We start from the raw sequence: 12,256 nt of genomic DNA, 5'->3' as shown, positions 1-12,256 counted from the left end.
GGGGATGTCTTGCTCAAGGTAACCAAATTAATAAATCGTATATTCTGGACTTAGATCATAAAAACACAGAACCAGAAAGAATTTAGCGATCTTTACAGAGATGGAAATAGATTTTTCTAATAATAGCCTGACCGTGAACTCAGTAACAACAGAGCTTTTTGTATCTCCAATGTCTAGTACTTGGCTATAATGGTTACTGGATTAATTCCTTAAGTTAAAGGTCAAGGGATAAGATTCCTAATTTACTTGTTACTAAATCTTGCTCTGAATTTCATTTCTGTCTTAGTAATAATAACCATTAAGCCCATTGTTTGAATAGTTCTATTTTTATAATAAGTAATATAATTGAATAGCTGACATTATACATTTTTTCTTAGTTACCCACATCTATGGGAAGCTTAGCTGTTTAGATCAGAAGGCCACACATATCCCACTGCCACAGGGCACCTGTTAGCAGATTAAATTTTAGGCAAGTGATAGATCAAAATACACAGATACTAAGAGAGGTATTTTACAAACCCAAATACTTAAAGACAGCAAATTCAACACTTTGTTTACTTTTGGCTTTCTGTTCATTAAAATAAAATCCTTATTGAAGATCAGTTAATATACAAAACTGCTAAAATTATGTATTAACTCTCAGAATGTCAAGAGATTTCTGGCAAACAAATATTCAAATTAGTTAAACTTCATGCTTTCAGGACTGCTCATATTTATTATGTATCCTTTTAACAGCCTAAAATTTTCAAAATTTTCAATTCTAAACTTACTCTCTTTTTCATGAGTGAAGAATTTTCTGGGATAGAAATAGCTTTTTGCAAAAGGTTTTCCAGTTTCTTTTCTTTCTTTTTTTTTTTCTGGAGACCGAGTCTTGCTCTGTCGCCCAGGCTGGAGTAAAGTGGTGCAATCTTGGCTCACTGCAACTTTGCATCCCAGGTTCAAGCAATTCTCCTGCCTTATCCTTCCTAGTACCTGGGACTCCAGGCACGCATCACCACACCCAGCTAATTTTTGTATGTTTAGTAGAGATGGGGTTTCACCATGTTGGCCAGGATGGTCTCGAACTCCACCTGCCTCAGCATTCCAAAAGTGCTGGGATTACAGGTGTGAGCCACCGTGCCTGGCCGGTTTTCCAGTTTCTAGTTTGCATTTTTCTAGTTTGAGATCATTCTTATGTTTGCAATAGATCAAAAATCAACAGGAATGTGCTTCAAATGACAAAGATTTTATACATTTTTATATGTAAAAAGTAAAGACTAGATAAAATTAACATGTAGTAAGATGAAATTGAATTCTGAAGTTGAACTGTATTCTTTGCAAGCCATTACAAAGTCTATTAAATATCTATAGATTACTCACCAGGAAAACGCAAATCAAACCCACAATCGGATACCATTCGCACCCACTAGATGGCTATAATAAAAAAGAGGGACAATAGCAAATATTGGTGAGGATGTGAATAAATCAGAACCTTGATATGCCACTGGTGGGAATGTAAAATGGTGCAACCATTTTGGAAACAGCATGGCAGTTTCTGAAAATGTTAAACATAGCCAGGCACAGTGGTTCACGCCTGTAATCCCAGCACTTTGGGTGGCCAAGGCAGGCGGGTTGCTTGAGTTTAGGGGTTTGAGACCAGCCTGGGCAACATGGCAAAACCCTGTCTCCACAAACAATACAAAAATTAGCTGGGCGTGGTGGAGCATGCCTGTAGTCCCAGCTACTCAGGAGGCTGAAGTGGGAAGATCACCTGTGCCTGGGAGGTTGAAGCTGCAGTGAGCCGTGATGGTGCCACTGCACTCCTGCCTGGATGACAGAGCGAGACTTTGTCTCAAAAAAGAAAAATGTTAAACATAAAGTTACCATATAACTCAACAATTCTACTCCTATGAATATACCCAAGAAAAATGAAAACATGGTCACACAAAAATTTGTACATCAATATTCATAGCAGCATTATTCCAAATAGCCAATAGTGGAATTAACCCAATGTCCATCAGTTGATGAATTGGTAAACAAAATGTGGTAGATCCATACAGTGGAATCATTCTGCCACAAAAAGAAATGAAGTACTAATACATGCTACAGCATGGATGAACTTTGAAAAAAACGATGCTAAGTGAAATAAGCAGACACAAAGGCTATATATTGTATGATCACATTTAAATAAAGTGTCCAGGATAGGAAAATCCATATACAAAAAGTAGATTAGTGATTACCAAGAGGTATGAGAGGGAAGAATGGAGAGTGACTGCTCATGGGTATGGAGTTTCCTTTATGAGTGATAAAATGCTTTGGTATTAGATAGTGATGATAGTTGCACAAATCTGTGAATATACCAAAATTTACTGAATTGTGTACTTAAAAAAGTAATTTTTATAGTATGTGTATCAGACCTCAAAAAAGTTATTAATAAAATCTATAGAGTTATGATACTTTTAAAAAATTTAAAAATAGGGCATTTGTGGTACTAATCATATTTATAATTCTTGCAAAATAAGTTATTGTCTGATTTCCAGGTACTAATAGTCAAATGGTTTTTGATTGGTAATTAAAATATATATATATAAAAGTGGCTGGGCGCAGTGGCTTACACGTGTAATCCCAACACTTTGGGAGGCTGAGGCTGGTGGATCACAAGGTCAGGAGTTCGAGACCAGCCTGGCCAACACGGTGAAAACCCGTTTCTACTAAAAATACAAAAAATTAGCCGGGTGTGGTGGTGGACGCCTGTAATCCTGGCTACTCGGGAGTCTGAGGCAGGAGAATCACTTGAAACTGGAAGGCAGAGGTTGCAGTGGGCCGAGATCGGGCCACTGCACTCCAGCCTGGGCAAAAGAGTGAAACTCTCTCTCTCAAAAAAAAAAAAAAGTGAATGCCACTTATGTAATTGTCTATGAACTAAAATGATTTCCTGGTTTCCTAGGCTAGTGCGGATCTGGGAAGAACGAGTAAGCTTAACCAAGCTAAGAGAAAAGGTCACCAGGGAAGATGGAAGAGTCATTTTGAAGATAGAAAAAGAGGAATGGAAGGTAAGCTTTTATAGAATATTTGATTTTCCACATTTTGCATTTTGTGAGTCAGTTGAGAGAATGATTCTGAGACTGTGTAATTAAGACTAGAATAGTTAGAAACTAATTTTAATAATACACCAAATGAATTTGAGCAACATGTGCAACTGAAAAGAAACACAACTTCACAATTATTTTGCAAAAGTTCAGTTTGCTTCAACCCTGCCTAAACCTAAATCATTTGTGATATTTCTCCTATTAATCCTTCTTATAGCAACCTCTCATTTCCCATAAAAAAGATAACCATCTGCCTAATAAAAATAATATTGCTTTTCCAAAGAAATGCTCAGTTAAAACTTTATGGAATGGAAATATTAGTATTTTCAGTGGGTCTACCACCTAACTCATATTCTTTCTTCCCCTTACACACAAACTCACAGTTGGTTAATTATATTAGGCATACTCTAATTTTTACAAGAGCTTCTAACCCTTGGGTCAGTGTTTGTTTTTATGTTTTATGTCAGTGTTTGTCAGAGTTAGCTCCTTTATATTCTCTACTGGCTATTTTAGGCTGAAAGGGAAAAGGCACAGAGTTCAGAATAGTTGAAACTCTTAAAATTCTCAAATTAAAAAATAAATTTTTAAAAATATTCGTGTATTTCAAAACAGAAGTGGAAAAGCAGTTTGAATTATTGATTGAAATTATTTTTTTGGATTGTCTCATTTTCAATAACATATATGTACTTTAGGAAAGCCTAATACTGCATAACAGAATCATCAGGACATACTGGATGTGTGTACATTATTGATCAAAATATTTTTGTTTATTCTATCATGATTGGGGTTTGAAGGTTTAGCCAAAAAAAAAAAAAAAAAAAAAGGAAAAGAAAAAAAAAAGGAAAGATCTTAAAATCCGGAAGTCACACAAAGCACTTGGAAAAGTAACCCACTAAGGAAAACAAATTCCAAATATTCCAAAGTGCTTGTATAAGTCAAATATCACATTTCAGGGTGGCGTGATACTAAAAAAATTTAAGTAATATACAACAACCATCATTTCTTTTACTGTAGACCCTCCCTTCTTCTCTGCTGAAACTGAATCAACTACAGGAATGGCAACTTCATAGAACTGGTTTGCTGAAAATTCCTGAATTCATTGGAAGATTCCAGAACCTCATTGTGTTAGATTTATCTCGAAACACAATTTCAGAGATACCACCAGGGATTGGTAAGAAAGATTACTTTTATTCCTGTGCTATTTTATCCACCTGCAGATGTGCTTTTTATTAAGATTTTTTTGGATACATGGAATAAAGACCTCTTTATACAGCCCTCAACCTTGAGAATTTTAAACATTTAATCTAAATTGAAGCTTCTAGGGGATTCAAGTTTGTGGATTTACTGAGGTGATTCAAGATGAGATTTCAATGAAAGAAAAGCCTCTTTGGAAAATATCCTGTGATTCTCGGAACAATATTGTCGGCTCAGCTATTCCTCTTAGGAAACAACAGGTTGAAGGCAATAAAGCAAAACAAGAAGATTCTTCAAATGGGAAAAAAAAATCCAAATAGAAAATTGCTGAGGATTTTGTGTAGACAAAATGAAAATAGTTTTCGATTTTTTTTTTTTTCCTATTGCACGGATAAACTTGTCCCTTGTTTGAAGAAGGGACAGGACACAGACTGGGAAAAGGAAAGACACTAAGAACTCCGAATTTGCCAATACAAAATTGGCAAGTAAGTTATGCTGTAGGCCGGGCGCGGTGGCTCACGCCTGTAATCCCAGCACTTTAGGAGGCCGAGGCAGGCGGATCACGAGGTCAGGAAATCGCGACCATCCTGGCTAACACGGTGAAACCCCGTCTCTACTAAAAATACAAAAAATTACCTGGGCGCGGTGGCGGGCGCCTGTAGTCCCAGCTACCGGGAGGCTGAGGCAGGAAAATGGCGTGAACCCGGGAGGCGGAGCTTGCAGTGAGCCGAGATAGCGCCACTGCACTCCAGCCTGGGCGACAGAGCAAGACTCCGTCTCAAAAAAAAAAAGTTATGCTGTAATACCTTAATAACTATAAAGATTATTTTATATCCAACTCCTCTCTATTGTATATTATTTTTTATAGGACTGCTTACTAGACTTCAGGAACTGATTCTCAGCTACAACAAAATCAAGACTGTCCCCAAGGAACTAAGTAATTGTGCCAGCTTGGAGAAACTAGAACTGGCTGTTAACAGAGATATATGTGATCTTCCACAAGAGGTTAGAAAGACATAAATGCCTATGATTGTATTTTCCATCTGCAGTAGTTGACCACTCAATGTGTGGTTGTTAACAATAATAAAACTAATGAGAAAATTCTATGTATTTCAGAAAAAATATTTAGAGAAAACCATTTCCTTAAGTATAATGCAGGTTTTAACTGGAGAAAGATTTAGTGTAAAAGATACTTCTATTATTATCACAGTACTGACATCATTTGTTAAACTGTGATCTCCTTGAAGGCCAGGGTGAGAGTTGTATTATAGTCTCAGAATTGAGGGCAGAGCCTAGGTTGTAGTGATTACTTAAATGCTTTTTGAATTAATAAATGGTTATCATAAAGCACAGACAATGTAGTGATAGCAATGGGACTGGAATGCCTCCAAACTTTGATTTGGTATGATGTCTTGTTATTGGTCAAACCAAATTGATCATATAAAAATAAAGACATTTGTATTACTTTTTGAAAATATTTAATGCTCTTAGAATCAGTGAAGAAGTTTCCATGGTGCTTTGGCTTTGAAAACAATGACTTTACAAGATAAAAGTTAAGAAAAATAATAAAATAGGCTATTCCCTTCTCCCACTTTATCTTAATTAGTGTATCAGACTTTTCTTCCAAACAAGCAAACTTGTCACCAACAATTGTCGCTCTTGCAAATAAAACACAGTATATACATATACATTATATCTTCTAATAGTTCAATTTAATGAAATGTATACCCTTGTGTATTAGTCTGTTCTGACACTGCTGATAAAGACATACTCAAGACTGGGTAACTAATAAAGAAAAAGAGGTTTAATGGACTCAGTTTCACGTGGCTGGGGAGACCTCACAATCATGGCAGAAGGCAAAAGGCACGTCTTACATGGTGGGAAGAGAGAATGAGAACCAAGTGCAAAGGGAAACCCCTTATAAAACCATCAGATCTCATGAGGCTTATTCACTACCATGAGAACAGTAAGGGGGAAACCATCGCCATGATTCAATTGCCTCCCACCAGGTCCCTCCCACAACACATGGGAATTATGGGAGGTACAATTCAAGATGAAATTTGGGTGGGGACACAGCCAAACCATATCACTTTGCATACAATAAAAATGATAATCATATGGATAATTTCTTACACATACAAGAGGGCCAATAAATATTTTATTTCTAACTCATGTGTTTTTGTTTCTGGGTTGGCTCCATCATTATAAAAGCTATGTGATTTTGTACAGTCTATTAACCAGTCTTTTTTTTTGAGACAGAGTCTCACCTTTTGCCTAGGTTGGAGTACAGTGGTGTGATTCTGGCTCACTGCAGCCTCAACCTCCTGGGCCCAAGCAATTCTCCCACTTCAGCCTCCTAAGTAGCTGGGACTACAGTCGTGTGCCACCATGCCCAGCTAATTTTTAAAGTATTTTGTAGAGACAGGGTCTCACTATGTTGCCCAGGCTGGTCTCAAACTCCTGGACTGAAGTGATCCTCCTAACTACCAAATTGCCTAGCAAAATGCTAGGATTATAGGCATGAGCTACCCCTTTCCTCCACCACTATTATTTGGAAGTTAAATGTTGAGTTTTCCCATACAATTCTCAACTACTGGATCAAAGGAAAACATGATAATGGGTGCTTACTCTCAGGGAAAAAAAGGTTTTGCCAGGCACATTCTATAAACCCTGAAACCAGGTTATTATGAAAGATAAATTTTCTTCAAATAGATGAACTTTCTATGAGAGTTTTCCACTTCCCTGGAGGTCATTTAGCTTTATATTTATTTTTAATTTGTTGCGGACTAATATGACTAAATAAAGCCCAAGTAAAATGTGAATATTCCTGGATGTGAAATATCTCCTTTACCAATGTGAGTCTTTTAGTAGTTTACATTGTGGACATTTATTTTGAAAAACCTTGCTTTCTTCTTCAGCTCAGCAATCTGCTAAAACTTACTCACCTTGATCTGAGTATGAACGATTTTACTACAATCCCTCTTGCTGTGTTGAACATGCCTGCCCTTGAGTGGCTGGACATGGGAAGCAACAAACTTGAACAACTTCCTGATACTATAGAAAGGTAAAAGAAATAACTCTTTATGCTAATGATAAAAGTCTTGAAACCTCTTATGAAAAATAACCAAGCAAGACAAATGGGATCTCAAGCATAATCAATCACAATAGGTCCAACTAGTTTGAAATACACTGTTTTAACAGAATATTTTCATTTGTTCCAAGTAAGTAAAAGGGTTTGGGAAGAAGAAAAAACTGGCTTTTTTCAAGTGATCCACCTACCTCAGCCTCCCAGAGTTCTGGGATTACATGCCTGAGCCACCACACCTGGCCAAAAGTGGCTGACTTTGAGAAATTAACAAGAATATGCCACAATAACCACCTTGCTTAGCATATGCCAAGCACTTCTATGCACTTTACAAGTGGATGAAGAAACTAATGACAGAGATGTTAGCTAACTCGCTCAAGTTAGTAAGTGGGCAAGCTAGGATTTGAACCTAGGCAGCCTGGCCCCAGAGTTCATGATGTTACGCATTATGCATACTGCTTTGCTATAAATGGGCATATTCATCATTTTATTGTTCTCTTAAGACTCTGTCTCAGATTAGGTAACATTTACAGTAGTTCTTCTTCAAGAAATCCTATGAGAATAGTGAAAGAATTCTAGAATATGTTGATTTGATTTCATTTCTATTGCCATATGACATGAGAGTTGTACTGTAGAGATAAACTTCCTGATGTGGTTTCTCTAATAACCAGGTAATGTGATGTCAGTTAACTCAATAAGTATACTGGTTAAAGATGTTGTAAAAGACATTTGATTTTTAACATAAGAACCAAAGGCTGGGTGCAGTGGCTCACGCCTGTAATCCCAGCACTTTAGGAGGCTGAGGGGGAGAATAGCCTGAGCTCAGGAGTTTGAGACCATCCTGGACAACATGATAAGACCCCTACCTCTTAAAATTATTTGTTAAAACTCCAAAACCAATATTTTCATATTATATGTAATTAATTGTAGAAACCTTAATTTTTCAGAATGCAAAATCTACATACGTTATGGCTGCAACGAAATGAAATAACATGCTTGCCTCAAACAATCAGCAATATGAAAAATCTGGGTACTCTTGTTCTCAGCAACAATAAACTGCAAGATATTCCAGTATGCATGGAAGAAATGGCAAATCTGAGGTAAAAAGTTGTAGGCACAAAACTGAAAAACCTTGCTTTCTTTCTGGCTACAGAAAAAAGTACTGTAGAGAGATTGTTATTAATAAATTTCAGTTGTTATTTATGTGAATGGATATCTTAAAAATCTTTTCCAATGTTGACATTCTATAATTTGATGAATAGGATTCATATAACACTGGTCTATTCAAGAAAGAATCCTTAAAACTAAAGCAGTTTGGGATTTATCAGCTTTAAGAAATGTCTTCCATTTTAGATGTTTATCAAAGGTCTTTTATGGGGAAGAAAGTAAATGTATGAAATAATAAATGTGTGACCTTTATGGGTAATGTTGGCTCTGAACAAACTTTTGAAAACTTGGTTGACAAAATTTTGAATCAACTGAAAAAAAGCATGACTTGAAATCTCTGAATGCCTTGGTTCTCAGTATTATCATTCTTCATTGAATTTGTTTCTTATTAAAATATGTAGTTTTTAAGACTTTTTTTCTCACAGTATTATGTAATTTTTTAGCATGGGTAGATGGGAGTGTCACTTGTATGTTACCATACAGCTGACAAGTATTTTTGTCTTTTCTTTATTATGTTTCATGCTATGTATGTACCATAACCAACCTATTGCCTATGAGAAACATGTAAGATAAAATATTTACAGCCATTGTTACAAGTTTATAGTGTATTTTTCTATCTTGTTTTATATGTATGTTACATAACATTCAAAAGGAATTTTTTTTCTTGAGAAAAGGATACAAATTGCAAAATCCACAATTTTGATAACTGAAAATTGCCAATTGTTTTGCAGTACTTTATTATATTGGGTGTCTTGTCTCTTTTGGGCTTCTAGTTAGCTAAATGAATGAATACATTAGACATTTTTGGGTTTTAGTTGGGATTTTACATAGCTTGCATTTTAATTCTTTGGTTCTTCGCTGTTTGTATTAACCCATAGCATTATTTTAATAAATGTTATAATACCAACCTAAAAAAAAAAAGAAATGTCCTCTGTTGATGACATTTTCATGAAAATTATACAGCTAAAAAAACTTCACTCACAACATAAAAATCAAAAGCATAAAAGTGTTTATTTCCTAAATAAGCACAAAGGGAAACAATTATGTTATTGATAGCAGATATATTAGTCGGGAGTGGTGGTGCATGCCTATAACAGCTACTTGGGAGGCTGAGGCTGGAGGATCGCTTGAGCCCAGGAGTTCGAGGTTGCAGTGAGCCAAGATTGCGCCACTGTACTCCAGCTTGGGAAACAGAGACTATTTCTTAAAAACAAAACAAAAACAAACAAACAAAAAGCCACTAGATATAACTTTTTACTAAGTACTATCAAAACTCTGTCAAGCATTTTTTCTTTTTAAAAATTATTTTAGATTATTTTAGGTTGCTTGTATGTCTTCTTTTGGGAAATGTCTGTTCATGTCCTTTGCCCGCTTGTGGGGTTGGTTTTTTTCTTGTTGAGTTCTTTGTAGATTCTGGATATTAGTTCTTTGTCAGATGTATAATTTACATATATTTTCTCCCATTCTATAGGTTGTCTATTAACTGTTGATTATTACTTTTACTGTGCAGAAGTTTTTCTAATTAAATCTCATTTGTCTATTTTTGGTTTTGTTATGTTTGCTTTTGAGGTCTTCATCATAAATTCTTTGCCTAGGCCAATGTCCAGAAGAGTTTTTCCTAGGATTTCTTCTAGGATTTTTACTGTTTCAGATGTGACATTTAAGTTTTAACCCATCTTGAACGCTCCCTCAAGTATTTTTCTTCCAAAGCTTAATCTTCTGACAAATGAGAATAAGAGAATACCCACTAAAACCCAAAACTTCGATAACAAAATAATTCATTTATTCACTTGTTCAGCAACTACCTGCCTTGTACTGGGTGGTGAAGACACAATGATAAGTAAGATGGAGGTATATAAATTATGCAGAAACTAAGTTCATAGCACTAATTTTATATTTAAGATATGTTAAAATTGCTCTTAGAAGTTAAGCTGTATTGCATTAAATATATGCTGTAGGCCAGATGTGGTGGCTCACACCTGTAATCCCAGTACTTTAGGAGGCTGAGGCAGGCAGATCACTTGAGGCCAGGAGTTTGAGACCAGCCTGGCCAATATGGCAAAACCCTGTCTCTACTAAAAATGCAAAAATTGGCCGGGCGTCATGGTGTGCACCTCTAGTCCCAGCTACTTGGGAGGCTGAAGCACAAGAATCACTTGAACCCGGGAGGTGGAGGGTGCCATGAGTCCAGATCATGCCACTACACTCCAGCCTGTGCAACTAGACTAACAGTTGCTTTTATAAGCTTTGAAAGTAAGTTGTCTAAAGCTAGTGTTTTTTTTTCTCTTAGGAAAAAAACATAAGATTCTTGAGATATATCACATCTCACCAAGTCGTTCAGTTATTGAAACCAGTTAAAAACGAGTAATTTAGTATATTATCATTTGACCTTTCTCCAGGGAAATAAATGTACACTTCCATGACACCTATAAAAATACTGTTTTTTGATGAACTTCTAGGTTTGTCAACTTCAGAGACAACCCACTGAAATTGAAAGTATCACTTCCTCCCAGTGAAGGCACAGATGAAGAAGAGGAACGGGAATTATTTGGCCTTCAGTTTATGCACACATACATACAAGAGTCACGGAGAAGAGCAGGTATAAGATTTGTATATAACACAGATTAAATGTTTTTTGGTAGAGTAATGTGTGTATCACTAACTGCTGCCTTTTGATTAATTCCTTTATATATTTCTCATTCCATCTTAAGTTTTCTGTCAAATTCTGTTCTCTTAGTCAATATTGTGGGAAGAAAAAAAGTGAAATAGAGAGAGAGGTTTTAAAGATATTCAAAGTCTTTCAAGTGGGGGAAGGAAATAAATCCTTTGGCTAAGCATCTGAAGTAAAACCAAGTGAGTGAAGACATGATTCTTAAAGCTTTGCTACCTCATTCTACCAGCTTGCCACACATAGCAGTTTGACCATGAACTGACCTTCCCTGTCATTCCATAAATAGAAAAAAAAATTTACCTAGGGATGAAAAATATTGAGAACACAGTTTTTTGTTTGTTTGTTTGTTTGTTTGTTTTAAAGAGATGAGGTCTTACTATGTTGCCCAGGCTGGAGTGCAGTGGCTATTCAAAGGCACAATCATAGCTCACTGTAGCCTTGAACTCCTGGGCTCAAGAGATCATCCGACCTCAGCCTCTGAAGTAACTGGGGCTATCAGTGCATGCCACCACGTCTGGCTGAGAACACAGATTTTAATGAACAAAGTGTGAGGTTTTGATATAGAGATTTCAATCACTTAGTCTCTGATAATTAATTGAGGGCCTTTAAGCTAAACCAAGATCAGGGGAAGAGGACAAAGTGCACAATTATTTGTTAATAAAAACAATGAAACAATAGTAACAGAAATCATAGTCTTATAATTTTAAAATGTTAAGAATTTTTAACTTAAAAGGTAGATTTTAGTTCAACTTAATGCAACAACTAGTTTGAAAAATGAATATAACTGAGAAGACAATGACAGAGTTTTTCAGCTAAAGGAAATAATTTTTACTAACATTCAGTGGAGGATGTTTAGGAAATGGTGATTAGATTTATTGCAGCAAGGTCATAGAAGCAATGACATGGAGACAGATTGGGGGAAGACAGGCAAAAAAGTCATAATTGTGACCTAGTTTTGGAAAGCAGAGAATATATAAAGACAATTAGGAGACAGAATTGGTAATTGAATGAAGATGAGAAAAGGGAGTTTACAATGAATGTTTTTGGTTTAGAGGGCAACTGGATAGATGG

At 36.0% G+C, this 12,256-nt stretch overlaps 1 protein-coding gene across 5 annotated transcripts in view; it reads left to right on the top strand.

Annotated features, from left to right (window-relative positions):
* LRRC39 (leucine rich repeat containing 39) overlaps window positions 1–12,256 on the top strand; it is a 31,220-nt gene that overhangs the window by 16,170 nt on the left and 2,794 nt on the right. For all 5 annotated transcript variants that reach the window (XM_047445522.1, NM_001256387.2, NM_144620.4 and 2 more), the window contains 6 exons: window positions 2,927–3,032; window positions 4,083–4,239; window positions 5,131–5,267; window positions 7,181–7,326; window positions 8,295–8,447; window positions 10,974–11,113. In XM_047445522.1, coding sequence (XP_047301478.1) covers window positions 2,927–3,032; window positions 4,083–4,239; window positions 5,131–5,267; window positions 7,181–7,326; window positions 8,295–8,447; window positions 10,974–11,113 — 839 coding nt within the window. The remainder of the gene's footprint in view (window positions 1–2,926; window positions 3,033–4,082; window positions 4,240–5,130; window positions 5,268–7,180; window positions 7,327–8,294; window positions 8,448–10,973; window positions 11,114–12,256) is intronic.

Source organism: Homo sapiens, chromosome 1 (assembly GCF_000001405.40).
Source record: "Homo sapiens chromosome 1, GRCh38.p14 Primary Assembly".
NCBI lineage: Eukaryota > Metazoa > Chordata > Mammalia > Primates > Hominidae > Homo > Homo sapiens.
The sequence above is the reverse complement of the archived record's forward strand: the minus strand, read 5'-3'. Positions and strand labels throughout refer to the sequence as shown.